This window comes from Homo sapiens, chromosome 10, assembly GCF_000001405.40.
Source record: "Homo sapiens chromosome 10, GRCh38.p14 Primary Assembly".
Lineage (NCBI taxonomy): Eukaryota > Metazoa > Chordata > Mammalia > Primates > Hominidae > Homo > Homo sapiens.
Window position 1 is genome coordinate 132,604,288 of NC_000010.11, and position 22,995 is coordinate 132,627,282.

Here is a 22,995-nt window from a genome sequence, read left to right on the forward strand (position 1 = left end):
CCTGCCCTGTGCTGTCAGGGTCCCCTCTCTGGCGCGCCCTGTGCCATCAGGGTCCCCTCTCCATCCTGCCCTGTGCTGTCAGGGTCCCCTCTCTGACGCTTGCCCTGCAAACATCCTCCTTTCCCGTGACTGCTACGCTCAGGAGCGAGGATGCAGTCAGACCCTGTTTTGTTGCCTCTGGAGCATCCTTCTCTTCCTCTTCCCCCCGTTTGTTATTTGGTGAGGTTTGGGGGGAAAGGGGTGTCTTAATCTTCCTTATGGTGTGTTTGCCCAGAGCTCAATAGTAGTTGAAAAGGTTTTCTTGTCATATCAATTCCTCAAGCTATGCTACTTGCACACTGTGGTCTGTGGGGCTGCATAGTGAAATGTCCTTTTCCTGGATGGAGGGAAGACAGAGAAGGAACATGATGCAGCCTCACTGCTCAGGATGGAAAAACGCTGGGATTAGGGGTCACCTATTGGTCTGGGGAAGCTCAGTGACCCAGGGAAAATTGAACTGATGGAGAAGACAGTATTTGATCAGACCTGTGAGCAGTGAAGGCATGGGGGCTGTTGCCAGTCTGCAAAGAGAGAGTGCAAAGGCCCTGGGGCCAGAGGACCAAATGTCTGAGACTCAGAGCAAAGCAGGTGGAGCGGAGGGCAGGGAGGCCACGGGCTCAGGGCCTGGTGGCTGTGCAGACCTGGAAGGCCTTTGCTGTTTATCCTGAGAGAGCAGGAGGGCCCTGGAGGGTGGATCCACTTGTGTTTTCTGAGAATCACCCTGGCTGCCTGTGGAGTGTAGACTGGAAGCAGGTAAGGACAGAGCAGGGAGATCCCTGAGGAGGGAGTGGGAAGGGACTGGGGATGGGGAAGAAGTGGATCCCCCAGGAGGGAGTGGGGAAGGGGCTGGGGATGGGGAAGAAGTGGATCCCCCAGGAGGGAGTGGGGGAGGGGCTGGGGATGGGGAAGAAGTGGATCCCCCAGGAGGGAGTGGGGGAGGGGCTGGGGATGGGGAGTGGGTGGATCCCCCAGGAGTGAGGGGGAAGCAGCTGGGGATGGGGAGGGGATGGGGAGGGCATTGATCCCCCAGGAGTGAGGGGGAAGCGGCTGGGGGATGGGGAAGGGACAGGGAGGGAGTGGATCCCCAGGAGGGATGGGAAAGGGGCTGGGGATGGGGAGGGGATGGGGAGGGTGTGGATCCCTTGGAGGGATGGGGAAGGGGCTGGGGATGGGGAGGGGACAGGGAGGGCGTGGATCCCCTGGGGGATGTCCTGGAAGTGACACAGTGGCACTGAGGCCAAGGGAGGCTGGTGGGATGGTGGGATGGTGGGATGGGGCCCAGGAGGCCCTGGGAGCTTCCAAGCTGGGGTCAGCCAGGCAGACGCAGCAGCGCCACGCGGGCCAGAAAGTGGCCCCTGGGCAGGGCCCCATGGTCACCGTGGCCGTCACAGTGGCCCCGACTAGTGTTGGGGTGTGTGCCAAAGGCAAGAACTGAAGGCCTTGAGGGCCTTGTCTTTTTTTCACGTTTCTTCTCTTCCTTCTTTGGAGTGTTTTTGCTCTCATCTTTCATTTAGACTTTTGGTCTAATTATTTCACAGCCTTTGAGTGCCTCCTCATAAACAGTCAGCAAACACGGATGTCTTTGTTTAGAGCACCGTGTTAGGACTGTCTGGGCTTATTAACCTTAGTGGATCCACAGTCAATGTTGGGGGAAGTCATATCCACGGTTTAAATGAGGTCATGACCCATGAATTGGGCTGGAGCGCGTGTTACTGGGGCGAGGTGCACACAGTGAACGGTGTGTCCAGGTGTCCGCTGTCACATTTGTGCGTTTGGTGTTTAGGGTGGCTCCTGGGCAGGGCTGCTGGGCACGCAGCTGCAGCTGGATGTGGGGCTGGGACCCTCGATGGGGACTTGCTGGTAGGAGCTGGGGCCAAGGGAGGCTGTCCACGTGGGCTGAGGGTCCTCAGTGGCGGGACAGCGGCGTGGGTCAGTCGCCTCCCCTCCTGCCGGGTCCTCAGTGGCGGGACAGCGGCGTGGGTCAGTCGCCTCCCCTCCTGCCGGGTCCTCAGTGGCGGGACAGTGGCGTGGGCTGATGGCCTCCCCTCCTGCTGGGGCGGTTGCGTGCGTCCCACGAGGAGGTCCCTGGACCCAGAGGGCAGGGCATGGGGGTGCTCAGAGCCGCAGTGGGCGATTCTCTCCCTTCGCGTGTGTGTGTGCTGGGGTTGTGTGTCCTTGAAGCCTGGAGCCAGGGTGTTCTCGGCTCGGTCCTGTGATCTGTGAAGCTCTTGTTTCTTGTCAGGTTTTTTATTTTTCATTAATTTATCTAAAATTCAGTCTTCCTGCTTTTTAGGGTTCTTAGACCCGTCAGCAAGTGAACGGAGGAGCGCGCCTGGTGTGTGGCCAGCCTTGCGATGCTGTTGTGTTTGCGTGGGCGCGGAGTCTGGGCCCAGCTGCACTGGCGGCCTGCACGCCTTGGCCCCATGCCCACGGCCACGGAGGCTGAGACCAGGGCAGGGGCTTTAGTCCCGATGGGAGCGGGGGCAGGGCCTTGTTTATTGTTTTTAATCGCGGCAAAAACCCACAACATTAAATTTACCACCTTAACCGTTTCCGAGTGTGCAGTTCCTTAGTGCTAAGTACATTCACGTTGTTGCACGGATCTCTAGAACTTGTTCTCTCGCAAAATGGAAACTCTACCCTTTTAGATGCTGACTCTGTCCCCTCACGGTGGGCGATGTTGGAGCTGGGGTGCTTCCTGAGCGTGGGCGGCTTGTGCTGAGTGCTCGCGCTCAGCCTCGTCCGCGGTGACCTCCCTCCTCTTGGGTTTGAATGGCTGTGCTGCCCTTGGCCGGAGCTGGCACAGAGCCCAGGAGCAGCCAGGTGGCCTGGGGCTCAGCGGAGCGGTCAGGGTGGAGAGCGACTGGGCCGTCCCTTCTCCTGAAGCAGTGGCATTTTCAGGCTTGCGCTTAGCTCCTCCGATTCTGTCCAGGAGCTTCCTGGGGCCTGGGTCTCTGGCGGGGCTGGAGTTTCCTTGCGTGTGTGCACGTGTGTGCACGCCTGTGGCATGTGGTAGGTTTTCTGTTGATGGCTCTAGCAAGTGCTTTCTGAAGATTCTGACAGTTGTGACGGACTCTATAAAAGCCCCTTGCTCTTCACCCCAAACACACAGAAATGCCATATGCGACCATGATGTTTTGTACTCCACAAAGCTCAGCTTTGTCTAGTGCCTGTGAAGGGGCTTTGGCTCAGGCAGGGGCGGGTGTGGAAAGGTGCCACCGTCTTGCTTGTTGAAGCTGGGTTACTGGCTGAGCCGTCTCTTCCCTGGGAGGCTGGAGGCTGGAGCAACACAGAGCCTTCCCCTCCTCGCCACCCGTGTGGGGGCTGCGCGACGCTGCCCGAGCTTTCCTGAGACAGAGTGCATCGTGCACCATGTCCCTGGGACAGCACAGAGCGGAGCCCCCACACAGAGCGGGGTCCCCGCGTGGGCCTGGGGTTTCCCCGTGCGGGTGGAGCTCCTCCATGCGGGGTGGGCCCGGGCTGCGCCTCTGCTCCTGCCCCACGTTGTCTTCACAGGAGCTTGTCCTGGCTCTGTTTAGGGCTGTGCCATTGGTCTGACTGGCTTTTCTTTTTCTTCTTAATTTACAGCCAGAAAACCTGCAGAAGAACTGGCTTCGGGAATTTTACCAGGTAAGAACCACTGAAACGTGTTCTTTTGGATTCATTACTTAGCCAATAAGGTGCCTTTTTGCTTTGGCATTCCTCCATGGAGTCTGGTGTGTCTATGGGGAGCGCAGGCCTGGGCTGTGGCTGGGTCTCTCGGCTCCGCTGCCTGTGCTGGGCAACATGTTTCTGTGTCACAGTCGGTCCACTGCCCGCCTGCCGGTGAGCCTGGCCAGATCCTCCTCGGGCTCACTGTTCACATTCCGGCTCCCTCCCCGCTCCCCGCGGGGTTCAGAGAATCAGAGAACCTGGGGGCTCCCTCCAGGGCTGGGTGAGCATCCCCAGTGGGGCCGTGGAGAGCTGGCAGCGAGGCTGGGTGTGCTCCTCACCAGGTCCGGTCCGTGCAGCGCACTCTGTGCAGAGAGTGGGTGCTGGGCTGGGGGAGGCGACCGGTTGGAGGGTTTCGGGCTGGCACTGCCAGGCCGAGGCACGGACCCCCCTGTCTAATATGGGGCCGGTGTTTATGGAGCCCGGTACTGTGCTGTGCTCTGGTGTGGACGCTGCAGATGCCACTGTGAAGAGACAGGCTGGTGCCCTCGCAGGTCTTCATGGAAGGAGCCACCTGGGGCCTGTGGCCGAGCATGTGTGCCTGTGGGGTGGCGCCAGAGGCCTCTCTGAGGACTGGGTGCATGGGGGAGGCCAGGCAGGCGAGGAGGGCAACGTGGCCATGGGCATGACGGTGGCCAGGCTCGGCTCCAGGGGCTGGTGGTGAGGTCAGCTTCAGGATGGGGTGGCCTGGACGGTGGAGCTGCTCACATGCTCAGACCCACGCAAGGGCTGAGCCCGGGACTGAAATCCTGTTTCAGGTGTGTTTGGCTGCTGATTGGAGATGGGCTGGGGAGGCCAGAGTGGAGGCCCAGGGGCCCTCTGTGAGGGCATGGGGGTGTGGGACCTGGGGGGTGGCCCGACCTGGGCCTGAGGTGCTGGGCCAGAGGTGGAGCTGGGACAGCCAGGAGGGCTGGGGACCTCTGTGCCCTCGGGCCTGTGTCCTGCCTGCCAGTGCTCCCATGTGGTGAGGCTCCCAGCATGCAATGGTGCTCTGTAGCCGGCATCCAAGTCCCCCCATAGGGACAACGGCGTGTGTGTGCACGTGTGTGCGCATGTGTGTGCTTAGCACCTATGTGGTGAGGAAGCCATTGTTCTACAGGGACCTGATAAATCTCTCTCCGTAGAGTCTTTGGTCAGATGTGCAAATGAGAGACATCTTTCCCTTTTGAAAACATATATTTACAAATCGAAATAATAGATATGATGAATTTAGCTGTAATGTGTGACATCATCTGCTCAGCGCTCACTTGGAGAAAGAGGACACTCCAGGAGTTGAAGCTGCCGTGCCACCCCCATCCACGGTGCTCTCATCATCTCTGTCCTTTATGTCAACCGCACGTCGGGGGCCAGTGGCGGGGGCGGGTTTGCCTTGTGAGGTGGGGTCTTGCTGCGTGTGCCTGTCGGGGAGACCCACATCCTTGCAGAACCTTCGTCCTCTCCTGGTGTGTCTCCCCTCCAGGGATCCACAGGTTTTCCCTCACTGAATGTTTAGGTGTGTGTGACCGGCAAGGAGCAGAACCTGCCGCCTACACAGCTGAAATCAGAATCTGCCCCTGTGTTTTGGTGTTTTTCCTTTTTGAAAACTGTCTGCTGCTTTTGTTGTTGTTGTTGTTGTTTTTGTTTTTGAGACGGAGTCTCACTCTGTCACCCAGACTGGAGTGCAGTGTTGCGATCTCGGCTCACTGCAAGCTCCACCTCCCGGGTTCACGCCATTCTCCTGCCTCAGCCTCCCAAATAGCTGGGATTACAGGCACCCGCCACCATGCCCGGCTAATTTTTGTATTTTTAGTAGAGACGGGGTTTCACCACGTTGACCAGGCTGGTCTTGAACTGACCTCAGCTGATCTGCCTGCCTTGGCCTCCCAAAGTGCTGGGATTATAGGCATGAGCCACCGCACCTGGCCTGTCTGCCGCTTTTTTCTTGGTTTATTTTATTTTAATTATATTTAAATTTTGTCCCAATCAAGCCAGCGGCAGCCCCGCAGGAGCAGAGTTTTAGGAGACGTTTACAGTGGCTGGGCCTGACCCGCAGTTCCTGATGGTACAGTGCAGCCATGGCGGACACCGAGGTCCCGGCAACAGCTCCCAACAAACCCTGGGCTTCCTCACACCAGGCAGTGGCCAGGCTCTACCTGGGGCTCCAAAGGCCTCTTCTGCCTCATGGAGGGGCACGTGAGCCCCACCTGTGAGGGACCGGAAAGGTCGATGTGGAGGAAGCCCCTGTCCCCACGCTCCAGCCCCTGGCAATTGTTTCCCTGTGTGCGTGGCCCCCCGAATCCTGGGTCCCCTCTGCCCCTGCAGCTCTGTGGAGCCCAGTGATGGGGGTGGGGGGTGGGGGGCGGTTCGTGAACAGGAAGTAGGGGTTGCCCCGGGCCTAGCTCCGGGCCTGCACACCTGGTGGGCTCTCTTCAGGCTGGACCATGTGCTGGACTTCCCAAGCGAGGTGCTGGCCCTGGGACATGTGACCTGAGCACAGAGAGCTGCAAAAAACCCAGAGGGCCTGCCAGTGGACGTTGGCGTGTGGCCCCAGCCAGCTCGCTGCAGGGCGCAGGTGTGGTGGGGAGACCTGGGGCTGCTCCAGGGTCTGCAGCCTATGCTGGCCAGCGTGGGGACCACCCAGTGCTGGGTCGGCTGGGCCCAGCCATCCACATCCCACTGATGCTCAGGCACCCACAGGCTGGGCCGTGGCAGCTTCTCTGCTCTGCTCCTCACCATCCAGACAGCTGCATCTGCTGCAGGGTTTGGAGCTGGTGTCTTTGCTCACTAACTGAAGAAGCTCTTGTTCTCCAGGGTTTATGGTTGGGTTTGGGATGAGGATGTAGGCAGATCGCTTGGAGAACAGCTGAGGCCTGAACAGGAAAAAACATCTGGAAAGGGGTCTTTTGAGATTGGGACAAGGAGAGGTCAGCATCAGGAGGATCTCAGGAGATGAGGAGTGCAGGGGAGAGAGGCCCTGTCAGAGGAGGGGAGGGAGGTGACGTGGGCAGAGGAGAGGCCCTGTCAGAGGAGGATGAGGGAGGTGAGTTGGGCAGGGCAGAGGCCCTGTCAGAGGAGGATGTGGGGTGGGAGGTGAGGTGGGCAGGGGAGAGGCCCTGTCTGAGGATGGTGAGGGAGGTTAGGAGTTCATGGGAGAGGCCCTGTCAGGGGAGAGTGAGGGAGGTGAGGAGTTCATGGGAGAGGCCTGTCAGAGGAGGATGAGGGAGGTGAGGTGGGCAGGGGAGAGGCCCTGTCAGAGGAGGATGAGGGAGGTGAGGTGGGCAGGGGAGAGGCCCTGTCAGAGGAGAATGAGGGAGGTGAGGTGGGCAGGGCAGAGGCCCTATCAGAGGAGGGTGAGGGAGGTGAGGTGGGCAGAGGAGAGGCCTGTCAGAGGAGGGTGTGGGAGGTGAGGAGTTCATGGGAGAGGCCCTGTCTGAGGAGGGTGGAGGAAGTGAGGTGGGCATGGGAGAGGCCCTGTCCGGGGAGGGTGACGGAGGTGAGGTGGGAAGGGGCGAGGCCCTGTCAGGGGAGGGTGAGGGAGGTGAGGTGGGAAGGGGAGAGGCCCTGTCAGGGGAGGGTGAGGGAGGTGAGGTAGGCAGGGGAGAGGCCCTGTCAGGGGAGGGTGAGGGAGGTGAGGTGGGCAGGGGAGAGGCCCTGTCAGGGGAGGGTGAGGGAGGTGAGGTGGGCAGGGGAGAGGCCCTGTCCAGGGAGGGTGAGGGAGGTGAGGAGTTCATGGGAGAGGCCCTGTCAGAGGAGGGTGAGGGAGGTCAGGTGGGCAGGGGAAAGGCTCCATCAGAGGAGGGTGCGGGAGGTGAGGAGGGCAGGGGAGAGGCCCCGTCAGAGGAGGGTGTGGGAGGTGAAGTGGGCAGGGGAGAGGCCCCATCAGAGGAGGGTGTGGGAGGTGAGGGGGGCAGGGGAGAGGCCCTGTCAGAGGAGGGTGTGGGAGGTGAGGAGGGCAGGGGAGAGGCCCTGTCAGAGGAAGGTGTGGGAGGTGAGGAGGGTAGGGGAGAGGCCCTGTCAAGAGGAGGGTGTGGGAGGTGAGGTGGGCAGGGGAGAGGCCCTGTCAGAGAGGGGAGAGGGAAGTGAGGTGGGCAGGGGAGAGGCCCCATCAGAGGAGGGTGAGGGAGGTTATGAGTTCGTGGGAGAGGCCCTGTCAGAGAGGGGAGAGGCGCTGTCTGAAGAGGGTGGAGGAAGTGAGGTGGGCAGGGGAGAGGCCCTGTCGGGAGGGTGTGGGAGGTGAGGTGGGCAGGGGAGAGGCCTTGTCAGAGGAGGGTGAGGGAGGTGAGGAGTTCATGGGACAGCTCCTGTCAGACAAGACCTGTGGTAGAGAAATGGTGTCTTATCACATGGTGAGCCTCTCTTTCCCATTTTCTGTCCTGTTGAGTTAGAATTGTGATGTTGTGTTTTGTGGGGTTTGGGGAGGCTGTGAAGGTGCCCTGTTTTGGGGGTTCGGGGAGGCTGTGCAGGTGCCCTGTTTTGGGGGTTCGGGGAGGCTGTGCAGGGGGCCTGTTTTGGGAGTTTGGGGAGGCTGTGCAGGGGGCCTGGCACTCCTAGGGCTGCTCCAAGCTGGCTGATGGTGGTTTGGGCTGAGGCCCGGTTCCCCTGCTGGTTTTGCTGATCTGGGACAGTGGCGCTGGCTGGAGGGGCCCTTGCCCCTTGCCTGGCCGTGTGCGTGGCCCTCGGCTGTGAGGGGCTGGGCTGTGGCTGGAGCCCATGTCCGCTCTCTAGGCTTCCTGGTTTGTGTTACATTTTGGCAGCAACAGCTGTGTGTTAAGCTCAAGCTTTTGTTTGTTTTCTTTTAAGATGGAGGCCTTGGGGCAGTGGGGTGGGGGTTGGAATTCTTTTTGGGTTTTGGGCGCATCCAGGAGGGGCCGGCAGTGGGGATGGGTCCTGGCTGCTCTGTCCCATGGAGCAGGGACAGTTCCCGCGCATTCGGGTCTCTGCAGCCTGTTCAGTGTGGGACCGTCTGCACCAGAGGCCATGGGGGAGGGCAGTCTTGGGGAGCAGGCGGCAAGACCCCAACTTGACAGACCTCAGATCCAAGGCTCAGGCCGCCCAGAATCCCCACGTACATGTCCCATTTCTTTCATTTCTTTCCCTTTTACCTTTTTTTCTTTTACTTATGGCTTAAACAGTTACTGTGAGCGTTGATAGTAGAGTTCGCCAGTGGTGCTGGAAGTGAGTTCTGAGCGAGGTGGTTCCTCCTGTGACCTGCAGCCCCTGGAACGCCACGGCCCACAGGACCCCCTCCTTCCCGAGTCCCCCCGCAGGGCCCCCTCCTTCCCGAGTCCCCCCGCAGGGCCCCCTCCTTCCCGAGTCCCCCACTGAACAGAGGCCCTGCTGGGCGGTTTGTGGGACCTGACAGAAAGGTGGGCAGGGCTCTTGGAGGTGGACAGCAGCACCTGGCGTCCTTTCTGGAGACTCAGCCTTTATGAAAGACAGTAGAGTCATTTGTAAAGAAAAATAATGAATGATGGTTTGCTCTGTGCAGTGTGTCATTTTTCCTGGTTGCAAAACCAAATTTTCTTGGTTTTCTTGGAAAAACCTCTTCAGAAGGAAGAAATTTCAGTGACACTTAGAACAGAGAATTCTCAAAAGTGAGATTTCAGCGCCAATCCCCACTCTCGATTTCAATGCCAATCCCCACTCTCATGCTTGTTTTAGCCTGACTTTGTTTCTTAGGCTATCAGCCAGTTCAGCGGCTGCACTGAGGGGCCTCGGGCTGGTGGGTTTCTGGCAGTGAGTGGGCCTCGCCAGGGCTGGATCAGACACCTGGTGGTCTCCATGACCAGAGCCCACTGTGCCAGCAGCTCAAGGGCAAGGGGTGGATGAGATGCCTCGACACTGGGCCTCTGACTGTTTCGGGTGTTTTTAAATCCTAGAGTTTCCATTATACAATTATTTTTCAAAATAGCCTTGAAGAAGTGGCTTTTATATAGGGAAGAACTAAATATGATCTTCATGGTCTTTTAGAAACCCTTTCTGTAAAACTTGATCCCTGTAGAGAGTGCAGGAGACAGCGCAGAAAAGCCTGTGTGTGCCTCCATCGCCAGTCGTGAGCACCCTCGACGCCTTTGGGACCCACGGCTTTCGAAGATTAGGTCCAGAACTCAGCCTGGCACTGGAGAGCTTGGCACGCCTTCCCAAGTCTTGAGTCCCCAGGCAGAGCCTGGACGGCACGATGGCTCATGCCTGCAATCCCAGCACTTTGGGAGGCCGAAGCGGGTGGATCACTTGAGCTCAGGAGTTCGAGACCAGCCTGGCCAACATGATGAAACCCCGTCTTTACTACAAATACAAAAAATTAGCCAGGCATGGTGGTGGGCGCCTGTAATCTCAGCTACTTGGGAGGCTGAGGCAGGAGAATCGCTTGAACCCAGGGGTCAGAGGTTGCAGTGAGCCGAGATTGCACCACTGTACTCCAGCCTGGGTGATGGAGTGAGACCCTGTCTCAAAAAAATAAATAGATAAACAAAGCTGCAGAGCCTGGGCTCACCCTGTGCTGGCCTCCTCAGCTGTCCTGTCCACCCGTCCAGGTTCCGTCCTCTCTCCTGAGAATCAGACTCACAGACTCATCACCAGGGGTTCCAGAATCTTCTCTATGTCAGGAGGGGCTCAGGCCCCAAACACAGGAGCCAGCCCCCGCTGCTGTCTTCAGAATGCTTATGGCCCCTCCCACATTCCTGTGTTAACATCCTGCCCCCAAGGTGGTGGCCTCAGGAGGCCTGGCTCTGGGGGCCGATGAGATCGCAAGGAGAGGACTCCATCCCCATGAATGCAATCAGTGCCCTGAAAGAAGAGGCCTGAGTGCTGCCTCACCCCTTCTATCCTACAAGGACACGGCAAGAAGGTGCCGTCTGTGAAGAGTGGACCCTCCTCGTGGAATGGGCTGGCCTCGCTCTTATCCTCCCAGCTTCAGGTGCCCTGTGGAGCACACGTCTGTGGCGTAGGCCCCGCAGGCTGCGGTGTTTTGTTGCCGCAGCCTGAGTGAAGAGAACGCCTTCCCGTGACGCGTCCAGCGTTGGGTCAGTGTGGAGGACCCGATAAGAACGCTTGCTGGGGGATGCCAGGCTGCACTCAGATGGAGGGATGGTGCGTGGGGCAAGAGGGAGCCCCGAGTCTGGGCCTGGAGCTGCTGCCCTCTGTCCCCACAGTGGCCCGATCCACGTCTCGAGTTGCTCTGAATTCCCAGCACTGTCTCGTGGCGGCCCGCAGCCCGTGGGCCACAATGGAGGGCTTCATCTCAGAAGCTTCCCATACTCCTTGCCTGTCTTCCAAGTGTGGCGTCCGGAACCAGCTCAGGATGCAACTGCTGGTTTTAGCCTTTAAAAAATGTGCACCCTGGAAGCACATGGGATGCTGTATGAGGAAGACTTCTGTGTGGCTTTCACACGTGACTTTTCTGGCCCACCGAGTTTCCTTCTAAACCCCCAGGCATCTGGGGTGAAGGCCCGTGGCCGCTGCTCAGTGGAGTTGGAGGAAGTGGCTGCTGGGTGCGGGGAGGCTCCTGAACTCTCGGAACCTGGAAGTTCACTGCGCTTGGTTTGACCGAAGGGGTGGGACCCAGCCTGCATTCGACACACAGCTTTGCGGCTGCATTTCTGCCCCTGGTGAAGCAGCTGGGCAGGCCCCTTTGCTTGAGGGCCCCGTCTTTGGGGTAGGAACTGGCCCTGCTGGAGAGTGGGCAGCTGGGACTGAGGTGGGCACCCTTGCTTGAAGCTAAGAAGACCCAGGAGAAGGGGCGGGCTTTGAGGACAGAGTGGGCCCTGGGTCAGTGGAGTGTAGGCACTGGGTTGGTGGAGGAGCTGGTTGGAGACTGAGGGGCTGGGAGGCCCCAGGCTGGGGCAAGGGGGTGTCTGCCGCTCTGGGCGGCTGGGATAAACAAAGCTGTGCAGCTGAGCCTCTCAGCTGAGAGGCTGCGACCTTCATGGCCTGGTGGGCCTGGCACCTGAGGCCCTGGGCCTGGGGAACAGGGGCCTCCCCTCTTAGTGGTGATGGGCTTCACCCTCTGTAGCTGCCGGTTCCGGGTCCTGTGGGGAGCGGTGAGGGATGGTCGTGTGCGTCGTTTTAGGAGCATGTGTGTGAGCGTGAGGATGCCCATGGCCAGTGGACATGCCTTCCTCCTGTCCTTGCAGCCACTGGAGGGGAAGCTTCTTGTCCTTAAGTCAGACCGGGAGGCAGACGGGCCCTGAAAGAACCACAGGGTGGCGTGGGAGGCAGCTGCAGTGGGAGGTGCCTGTGCTTTGTTGGTTGTGAACAAGCATCCAAGGGAGGACCACAGTGGCAGATGTGCAGTGTGGGGCATGTGGCGTGCAGGGACGCCGTGGGCGTGGTGTGGGGCACGTGGCGTGCGGGGACGCCGTGGGCGTGGTGTGAGGTATGTGGCGTGCGGGGACGCCGTGGGCGTGGTGTGGGATATGTGGTATTGGGAACATGGTGGTGACGCAGGATGTGGTGGTGGTGTAGAATGTGGTGCTGATGGATGTGGTGTGTGTGGGATGCTGTGGTCACATGGGACATGGTGTATGGGACGTGGTGGTGACATAGTGTGTGTTGGTGATAGGGGATGGGGTGGTGACATGGGATGTGGTTTTGGGGTTGCAGTGGTGACATGGGACATGGTAGTGACATGGGACATGGTGACAGGGTAGGGTGTGGTGGTGATGGAGGTGGTGTGGTAATGTGGCGTGGAGGATGCAGTGTGGGGGACATGGTGACATGGCGATGTGTCATGTGGTGATGGGGGACGTGGCGTGGGGGATATGGGGTCCTGGATCTCCTGTAGCTCTGGCCAGTGGCGAGTGGCACCATGCAGCAGGGAGGAAGGCCAGCTTCACGCTGCAGGAGCTCCTGGGCAGTCTGTTCTGGGAGTGAGGATGTTTGGGGGTTGTGGAGCCATCGTGCTGGCCAGTTGCTTTGCTGCGCTGGTGGGGAGAGGCCGCCTGAGGTCCTTCGAAGCAGCCTGGGTCTGTCTGCTCCCTGGGGTCAGATGCAGGCCGCTTCTGCAGCTTCGGCATCATGTCCCAGCCCAGCCCCGCAGCCTTCACCTGTAGGAAGATTCTGCAGGCTCTCTCTCCCTCCATCATCTGGTGACTCCTCAAACACCGCGCCCTGGTTGGTGGCTGTATTGATTCTTGGTCTCCCAGTGACGAGCTGAGGTGGGGAGCCACGAAGCCACAGGCTGAGGCAGAGCCAGGACAGACCCTGCTTGGCCCTGGGCTCTGGCTCTTTGCAGGCAGCTCAGCAGACAGTCCCCGCCCTTCAGAGCTCCTGTGCAGTGTGGCTTGGGGCAAAGCCACCCTGTGGCTCTCTCAGGGCCCTTCTGCCTCCTGGTCTGATCTAAGGACAAGAAGCTTTCCCTCCGGTGACTGCAGGGACGAGAGGAAGGGATGTCCACCGGCCGTGGGCATGCTCACACTCACACACGCTCACTGCCTGGGTGAGAGGCGGTGGAGGACCCCTTTCCCAGAGGGAAGGTCTCCTGTGAGCCACACCTGAAGGGTGTGGAGGAGCGGCTGTTACCTGCTCGTGTGGCCAGTGCAGATCTTGAATCCTCAGACTGCAGGTGAGGTAGCCAGGACATCCATTGTGACCTTCTTCCTGTTGACAAAGACAGTACATGGAGTGGAAGCTTCTGGCTATCTGTGCATTGCTTCACCGAGCACCTGACTGCGTCTGGCACGTGGCGTGTGTGGAGCAACTGCCTGCCACACAGAAGTCTGAGGATACTGATCAAAGCAGAAAAGGATAAACATTCTTTCCTTCCCCAGTTTTGCCTCCAGCATGATGCACACCCCATCATATGTGTTTGCCTGCGTGGCTGTGGGCAGGTGTGCAGTCCACAAGTGGGTCATCCACAAGTGGGCAGCAGACACATGTGCGTACAGCTTACTCTCTCTGCCTTTTTTGTAAGCTGGGAAATCTTTCTATGTGAATTAATATATGCTGTCTATCTTAATAGCTTCAGAATATTTTATGATATAGTTAGGCCTTAATTTTTTAAAGTTGTTTTTCTGTTGGACCTTGAGGTAGTTTAAAGTTTGCTTGTGGGAATGAGGATAAATTTTAAAACAGGATATAATGTTGTCTGTCATGCAAATATAAAATGAATAGGTACTTATTCACTTTAAATACCTATTTTAAAAATAGAGTTTTAAATTGAGATAATAAATGTTGTTTATTTATCAGGGAGAGACCCAGTAAGATGTAGAACTGGTTCAGGGAAGAATCCAGAATGTAGGCAAATAGCTTCTCCCATCAGCAGTACTGACATGAGTGTGCTTCACGGATGCAAGGCTGGCACTGTCCACAGGGTCATGATCCATCACATCTGCTGGACATTGTGCATTTCTGTGGTCAAGAATCATTTCCATCATCATCAGCTTTTAAACTCACAGAGTTGCAACATAGCTCAGAGACAACTAAAGGTAGAGATAACCCAAATAGGTGAGCTAAATGGAGGCACTCTCATTATTGCTCATTTTAAAGTCTTTCACAGTTTTTCCTGATGGTAATTTTAAGAATGATGTGATAGGCAGTGTCTGTTTCCAGCTAACATGGAAGAAGAGTGTATTAGGCCATTCTTGCTTTGCTGTAAAGAAATACCCGAGACTGGGTAATTTATGAGGGAAAGAGGTTTAATTCGCTCACGGTTCGCAGGATGTGCAGGAAGCTTAGTGCTGGCACCTGCTCAGCCCTTGGAGGCCTCATGGAATTTTCAGTCAGGCAGAAGGCAAAGGGGGAGTAGCCATGCCACACAGTGAAAGCCAGAGCAAGAGAGAGCGAGTGGGGATGAAGTGCACACACCTTCAAATGACCAGACCTCATGTGAACTCAAGAGTAAGAACTCACTTATCACCAAGGGGATGGCCCAGTCCATTCAGGAGGCATCTGCCCCCATGATCCAAACACCTCCCACCAGGTTCCTCCTCTAACACTGGGGACACATTTCAACATGAGATTTGGCCGGGGACAAATATACAAACTGTATCATTCTGCCCCAGCCCCTCCCAGATCTCATGTTCTTCTCACATTTCAAAATACAATCATCCCTTCTCAATAGTCCCCCCAAAGTCTTGACTCACCTCAGAAGTCCCATGTCTGATGACTTCTCTGAGACAAGGCATGTCCTTTCCACCTATGAACCTGCAAAATCAAAAACAAGTTATTTTCTCCCAAGATACAATGGGGATATAGGTATTGGGTAAACATTTCTGCTTCAAAAGGGAGAAATAAGCCAAAAGAAATGGGCTATAGCCCCCAGGCGAGTTTGAAACCCAGTAGGGCGGCTATTAAATCTTAAAGCTCCAAAATCATCTCCTCAGAGTCTATGTCCCACACTCAGGGCACACAGGCTCAAGGGGTGGGCTTCTATGGCCTTGACCAGCTCTGCCCCTGTGGCTTTGCAGGGTTCAGCCCCCAGGACTGCTCTCATGGGTTGGAGTTGAATGCCTGTGGCTTTTCCAGGCACAGGGTACAAGCTGCCAGTGGATATACCATTTTGGGATCTGGAGGATGGTGGCCCCCTGCTCACAGATCCACTATGCAGTGCACTGCTGGGGACTCTCTGTGGGAGCTTTAACCCCACATTTTCCCTTGACACTGCCCCTATAGAGGTTCTGTGAGGGCTGCACCCCTGCAGCAGGCTTTTGCCTGGGCACCTGGGTTTTCTTATACATCCTGTTACCCAGGCTGGAGTGCAATGGCATGATCTCAGCTCACTGCAACTTCAGTCTCCCAGGTTCAAATGATTCTCCTGCCTCAGCCTCCTGAGTAGCTGGGATTACAGTCATGTACCACCACACCTGGCTAATTTTTGTATTTTTAGTAGAGACAGGGTTTCACCATATTGGCCAGGCTTGTCTTGAACTCCTGACCTCAAGTGATTCACCCACCTCAGGTGCTGGGATTACAGGTGTGAGCCACTGCACTTTGCCAGCATTCTTCACTCTTGCATTCTGTGCACCTACAGGCTTAACACCTGCATTTTTCAAAATGGCAGCCTGGGCTGTGTCTGGGGCCCTTTGAGCTGAGGCTGGAGCTGGAACAACCTAGATGTGGGGAGCACTGACCTGAAGCTGCACAGGACAGCAGGGTCCTGGGCCTGACCCATGAAACCATTCTTTCCTCCTAGGCCTCAGGACCTGTGACAGGAGGAGCTGCTGCAAAGGTCTCTGAAATGCCTTCAAGGCCTTTTTGTCATTGTCTCGTCTGTTGGCACTCGACTCCTTTTTAGTTATGCAAATATCTCTAGCAAGTGGTTGCTTTACAGCCTTTTTGATTTTCTTTCCTGAGAAAGCTTTTTCTTTCTTTGCTATGTGGCCAGGCTGCAAAGTTTTCAAACTTTTGTGCTCTGCTTCCCTTTTAAATGTAAGTTCCAACTGTAAGTCATTTCTTTGCTCCCACATCTGAGTGTAGGCTGTTAGAAGCAGCCAGGCCACATCTTTCTTGAGCACTTTGCTGCTTAGAAATTTCTTCCATCAGATACCCTAAATCATCACTCTTTGCTTCAAATTTCCATTGATCTCTAGAGCATAAACAGAATGCAGCCAAGTTCTTTGCTAAAGCATATCATGGGTTATGGGAATATTAATATAATTTATGCCAATAAACTTGAAATTTTATATGAAAGAAACTTTTTTTTTTGAAAAACAAAAGTATCAAGAAGAAATAATGAACTCAATAGTCCTATATCTATTCAATTAAAAATTTGCCCATTACCTTTCCACAAAAACCCTCCCAGCCCAGATGGCTTCCCTGGTGAATTCTATATTTAAACAAGAAACAACAGAAATTCTACAGAGCCTTTAGAAGAAGACTGAGTCACAGATGATACTTTTTGAATTATTCTTTGATATGAACATTAGAAAAATTCAAACCAACATTCCCCATGAAAATAAAGGCAAAAATTATTTTCAATGTTGTAAATCAAGGGATGCAAGCCTGGTTTAACATTCAAGAATCAATCAACAGAATTTACCATGTCAACTGATTGAGGAAGAAAAGCCATATGATCATCTCAGTAGATGCAGAAAACGCATTTGACACAATTCTGTAACCATTTCTGATAAAAACTCTTAGCAAACTAGGAATAGAAAAGAGCATTCTCAGCCTGTAAAGGGCATCTATCTACAGAGCCCCACAGCTCATGCCACACTTAAACTGTGATAGAGGAAGTGCTTATTTACCTGAAGACTGGGAACAGGGCAAGGCTGCCTGATCTTACTTCTCCCATGCAGTATGGTACTAAAAGACTTAGCCAGCACAATAGGGCAAGAAAGTGTGAACACACCATATTGGAGACAGGTCTCAACCAATTTAGAAATTTTATTTTGCCAAGGTTAAGAATACTCCTGTGGCACAGCCTCAGGAGGTTCTGATGATGTTGCCTAAGGCGATTGGGGCACAGCTTGATTTTATCTATTTTAGGGAGACATGAGGCCTCAGTGTGTGTTCATGTACATTGGTTTGTTCTGGAAAGGTGGTACCGCTTGAAGCAGGGGAGGGGGCTTTCAGGTCACAGGTAGATAAGAGACAAAGGGTCATATTCTTTTGAGTCTCTGATTAGCCTTTTACTGAATACACAGTTTACATGTGAGGGGGTAGAGGAATAATCACTTATGCCTTAGTCTGGCTCAGTGAAGTGGTAGGGCAGAGGAAGCCATCAGTCATGCGTTTGTCCCAGAGGAGCCTCAGAGGGATGACTTTGAGTTCTGTCTGTCCTTTGTCCATAAGGAATTACCTTGTGGGAAAATCGTGAGGGGGGTATGTCTTTTTTTTTTTTTTTTAAATCTGTGTAGCTGTCTTATTTAGGAATAAAATAGGAGGCAGGTTTGCCTCACGCAATTCCTAGCTTAACTTTTCCCACTGGCTTAGTGATTCTGTGTTCCCAAGGTTTATTTTCCTTTCACAAAAGGAAACAAAAGTCATACAGATTTGAAAGGAAGAAATAGAACTTTATTGGTAGAAGACATGGTGGACTATTTAGAAAAACTGAAGGAATCCATAAAACTTTACTATTACTATTAAGTGGATTTATTTAGTTTTCAACATACAAGGTCAGTATGAAAACATCTTGTTTACATTAGCTATCAATAATTGGAGACTTAAAAAATATTTACAATAGCAGTAAAATGAAATAGTTGGGTATAAATTGGTAAAATATGTCAATATCTCTGTACTGAAAAGTTTGAAACACTGATGAAAGAATCAGAGAAGATATAAAGAACTTGAGAAATATACCATGTTCATGGATTGGAAGACTCAGTTACACTGACATGTTAGAACTTGAGAAATATACCGCGTTCGTGGATTGGAAGACTCAGTTACGCTGACGTGTTAGAACTTGAGAAATATACCGCGTTCGTGGATTGGAAGACTCAGTTACGCTGACGTGTTAGAACTTGAGAAATATACCGCGTTCGTGGATTGGAAGACTCAGTTACGCTGACGTGTTAGAACTTGAGAAATATACCGCGTTCGTGGATTGGAAGACTCAGTTACGCTGACGTGTTAGAACTTGAGAAATATACCGCGTTCGTGGATTGGAAGACTCAGTTACGCTGACGTGTTAGAACTTGAGAAATATACCGCGTTCGTGGATTGGAAGACTCAGTTACGCTGACGTGTTAGAACTTGAGAAATATACCGCGTTCGTGGATTGGAAGACTCAGTTACGCTGACGTGTTAGAACTTGAGAAATATACCGCGTTCGTGGATTGGAAGACTCAGTTACGCTGACGTGTTAGAACTTGAGAAATATACCGCGTTCGTGGATTGGAAGACTCAGTTACGCTGACGTGTTAGAACTTGAGAAATATACCGCGTTCGTGGATTGGAAGACTCAGTTACGCTGACGTGTTAGAACTTGAGAAATATACCGCGTTCGTGGATTGGAAGACTCAGTTACGCTGACGTGTTAGAACTTGAGAAATATACCGTCCGTGTTCGTGGATTGGAAGACTCAGTTACGGTGACGTGTTAGAACTTGAGAAATATACCGTCCGTGTTCGTGGATTGGAAGACTCAGTTACGCTGACATGTTAATTCCCCACTAACCAATCTACTGAGTTAGTGCAGTTGCAACCAAAATCTCAGCAGGATTTTTTTTTTGTAGAACTCTATAAGATTATTCTAAAATATACACAGGAAAGCAAAAGAACTAGAATAGCCAGAACAGTTAAAAAGTAAAAACATACTAATGTTTGGGGGCTTATATTCAGATTTCAAGACATACCATAAAGCTGAAGCAATCACAACAGTGTGCTCTTTGTAAAAGCACAGAAATACAGATCAGTGGAACAGAAAAGAGATTAAGAACTAGACTCACACATACAGTTAGGATTGACCAGGGGGTAAAGGCAATTTGTTAAAGAAAGGAACAGTTTTTTTTTTTTTTCAACAAATTGTGCAGGAACAATAGGACATCCATATGCAAAAAGTTGAGAATTTTAATACTTTATACCATACACAAAAATTAACTCAAAATGGATCTTAGAGCTAAATATAAATCTTAAAAAGTACAAAAGTTCTAGAAGGAAACTTAAGAGAAAATCTTTTTGACCTTGGATTAGGCAAAGATTTCTTAGATGCAACAGCAAAAGCACAATTAATAAAAGAAAAGAATTGGCAAATTCAAATATATCATAATTAGGAACTTCTGCTCTTTGTTAAGACACTGTGAAAAGAATGAAAAGACATATCACAGATTGGAGGAAAATATTTGCAAATTACATATTTGATGAAGGACTTGTATCTAGAATATACAAAGAACTCTGAAAAGCCAATAATAAGAAAGCAAAGAACCCAATTTTAAAATAACTGAAAAATTTTACTAGATACTTCACTGAAGAAGAGAATACAAATGGCAAGTAAGTGCCTGAGATGGTGCTCAGCTTCAGTAGTCTTTCGGGAAATGCAGATTACAGCAACATAATCAGTACGTGCCTATTAGACTGGCTAAAATTCAATTGGCTGTAAAAACAGTACAGAAACCCTGACAATACTCAGTGTTGATGAAGACGCAGGGCCACCGGAAGTCCTATGCCTGCTGCTGGCCCTGCAGATCCCTATGGCCATCAGGGAATCTGTCATTTCTTATAAAGTTGGACGTGTGGCCACCCCCTGACCCACGCACGTTGCTCCTGCTCACCGGCTGACATGATGGCGCCTGTTTGCACAGAAGCCTGAAGCAAATGTTCACAGCTGCTTCACCTGTGATCCCCGCCTCTGCTGCGTGGTTCCATTTCTGGGTCACATGGAAGCGGGGGAGCTGTGGGCACAGAGATGAGCGGTTCTTACAGAGGCCTGGGGTCTTTGAAGGAGTTTGAAGTGTGAGCTCGCTGTTTTGGCTGTGGTGCCACTTGCACACCGGCATGCCCGTGCTTCACACCGGCGCGCCCTCACCAGCACACCTGCACCTCACACCGGCACGTGCACTTCCCACCAGCGTGTCTGCACTTCCCACCGGCGTGTCTGCACTTCCCACCGGCGTGTCTGCACTTCCACCGGCGTGTCTGCACTTCCCACTGGCGTGTCTGCACTTGGGGAATGTGCATTTCCCTTTGGCAGCTCCTGTCTTCTGTGCGGTTCCTCCCATTCCCACCTGTTTGGTGCCTGGCATGTAGGCCGTGGTCTCTGCCCGTTCAGCACCTCCATACATGCTCAGGACTCCCCACCTTTCTGTTCAAACCCAAACCCCTCCTTTCCTTCCAGACTCTTGGTTCCAGCTGCCTGGATGCCCTGTGGCCTGCCGGACTTAGAATGTCCAGAGGGGCTTCTCCGTCCTCTGCTCCACACCCCACCCCCGCCCTGGCCTGCCCCACAGTGTCACCCTCCTGGCTGACACAGCTCCATGCCGCCGGTGCCAGGGCCCACACCGTGGCATCTGCCTCTTCTCCCATGTGGCATCGCACCTGTCAGCAGGTGCTGCCCCGCCACCCTCAGAGGCTCCCTGGCATCTGGCATTGGTCACTGTCCCTGCTGCCACCCTGCCCACGCCACAGTCCACTCTCCTTGGTTGGTTGCAGGGCCTCCTGCTCCTGCCTCAGTTTTCTCACAGGCTGAGCCTTGGAGGCCCCGCCCCTTCCCTCTCTCCCTCCCCCCTCCCCCTCCCTCCTTCCTTCCTTCCCTCCCTCCAGCTGGCCTTGCTCTGCCATCTCAGGACCTCGCACAGGCCACCGCTCCCTCTGACGGCACCTCTGCTCCCTGCCTGTCCCTGTCCTTCCCCCTCACGTGGCTCAACCCAAGGCTTTCCCTACTCCGCTCCTGTCATCCCACCCCACACCCCTTTCTCAGCAGGATCTTTTTCTGTGGCCCTGTGTCTTTCTGAATTACTGTATGATTTCCCAGCTTCTGAGTCAATGCCTGGGCTAGGGAGGGAGGCAGTCAATAAATATTCATGTCTTGGTTTGAGGTCTCCCAAAACACACCCCAGGCAGGATTCCAGTGAAAGCAGTTGAGCTGGGAGGTGCAGGAAAAACCAGCTGGGGAGTGGGTAGATGAGACTAGGAGGGGAGGCTTTGGGAGCCCCTTGAGGCACAGGGGTCTCAGACTGGCCGGCAGCTGGCTGAGGGGCACTGAAGGGCAGGCCCGGGGACATGGGAGCCTCTGCTGCAGGGGCAAGGGGTGACCCCTGGCCAGTCCTGAGGCTTCCTGACCAAGGTCGGGCCCTGTGACTCTCAGTTCCTTTCTTTGGCTGAGGTCAGGGGCGTGCCTTGGCCCTGGGCATTGCACGGAGCAGGGGGTTCTGGAGGGGGAGGTGCCATCCTGCCTGGCCCAACTTCCCACTCACCTGAGGCTGCTTCTCTGCAAGGGCTGGCAGGACTTCTGTGTGTGTGTGTGTGTGTGTGTGTGTGTGTGTGTGTTTGTGTGTGTGTGTGTACAGTGTTTGTAAACTTGAGGTAGTTTATACACAGTAAAATATATTGATCTTTGGTGCATGTTTCTTCGATTTTGACAAATGCGCACACCTGTATAGTGCCCGCCCCAACATAATGGGGAATTTCCATCTTCCTCTTCCCTGCTGCCCCGCCCCTCGGGTACCACAGATCCGTTTTTCCCATTCCAGAACGTCACACGCTGAGACCCAGGGAACGTGGCGGCACCCGCCTGCTTTCCCTGTGCTAGTGTGTTGAGCCAGTTCCGTGTTGTCACACACTGTGGCTCAGTGCTGTCATCACGAGCACTGGTCCTGGATCCTGCTGTGTGGGGCCCACTCTGCGCTCCCCACTCTCCCCTTGGTGACACCTGGGCTATATCCAGGTTCGCCTGGTTAAACAAAGCTGCCGTGCATGTGGACACGCAGGCTTCCCGGGACACACGCCTTCATTCTGCCTGGGTCCATTCCTCAGGGAGACTGTTGGCTGTAGGGTGGGTGTGTGTTGAAGGCTTCAAGGAGCTGCCCAGGTGAGGTGCCTGGTCACGCCTGCAGCCAGTAGGTGGGAGTCCTGGTCACTCCATGTGTCTCTCACAGTTGGTGCTGTCCTTTGCCTTTCGGCTCCCTGACACCGCTAAGTGCCTCGTAGCAATATACAGTTGTGGGAGCTGGCGTGTTCAAGATCGCAGACTGTGCAATTCTTTCTCTCTGTTCTGAAGTGAGATTTTGTGGGTGTGCACAAGAGCCCTCTGTCAGTATCCACAAGGTGGATTCTGGTGTTCGTTTTAGCCAGCACTTAGATTCTTTACAGACAGATTGTCAAGGCTTGCTGTGGAATGCACACGTTAGCAGTCTGCTGTGCCCTGTGGACAGCCCGAGCTCACAGCAGTGCAGGGGTTCCTGTGGCGACTGTGGGAGGCCCCTTGTTGGCTCCGTGTGAGGCCCTCCCAGCTCATGCCCCACTGCCCTCGAAGGGTCGTGTGTTCTGCTAGAGTCTGTTTGGCTGTAGTTTGGTCCTGTGCTTGGCACTGGGGCGGGGTGGGTGTCATAGACCAAATTGTGTCCCCCCAAGTTCATAGGTTGTGCTCTGACCCCAGTGTAATGGTATTGAGGGGGGTGGGCCCTTTGGGAGGTGATGGGGTGAGATGAGGTTATGCGGTGGGCCCCCCGGATGGGATGGGTGCCCTTACAAGAAGGGACACGGGATCAGGCTCTCTCCACAGGGCGCAGAGGCAGCTCTGTGAGCCAGGAAGGACCCTCACCAGGAACCAAACCGGCCGGCTTCTTGGCCTCAGACTGACAGCTCCAGAACTGGGAGAAATACGTGTCTCGTTTAGGCTCTCTGGTCTGTGGCATTTTGTGATGGAGCCTCTGCCGACCGAGGGAGGGGCTGA

The 22,995-nt window shown here is 54.4% G+C and overlaps 1 protein-coding gene across 6 annotated transcripts in view, besides 2 other annotated features; it reads left to right on the plus strand.

Moving 5' to 3' along the window:
• Nucleotides 1–22,995, plus strand: part of INPP5A (inositol polyphosphate-5-phosphatase A) — a 245,694-nt gene that overhangs the window by 66,501 nt on the left and 156,198 nt on the right. For all 6 annotated transcript variants that reach the window (XR_001747104.2, XR_945735.2, XR_007061963.1 and 3 more), the window contains exon 2: nt 3,628–3,669. Coding sequence is in view for 2 of the 6 variants with exons in the window: in NM_005539.5 (NP_005530.3) it covers nt 3,628–3,669 (42 nt within the window). In the remaining 4 variants the exon portion in view is untranslated. The remainder of the gene's footprint in view (nt 1–3,627; nt 3,670–22,995) is intronic.
• Nucleotides 3,816–4,317: an enhancer, noted in NCBI's record as "H3K27ac-H3K4me1 hESC enhancer chr10:134421607-134422108 (GRCh37/hg19 assembly coordinates)". NCBI's record gives its function as "activates a minimal SCP1, AML or CMV promoter by ChIP-STARR-seq in naive H9 embryonic stem cells {active_cell/tissue: H9 hESC(naive)}" and the evidence as "EXISTENCE:reporter gene assay evidence [ECO:0000049][PMID:30033119]".
• Nucleotides 17,765–18,964: an enhancer, noted in NCBI's record as "BRD4-independent group 4 enhancer chr10:134435556-134436755 (GRCh37/hg19 assembly coordinates)". NCBI's record gives its function as "activates an origin of replication core promoter dependent on BRD2, P300/CBP, MED14 and CDK7 cofactors, and independent of BRD4, by STARR-seq in HCT116 cells {active_cell/tissue: HCT116}" and the evidence as "EXISTENCE:reporter gene assay evidence [ECO:0000049][PMID:35650434]".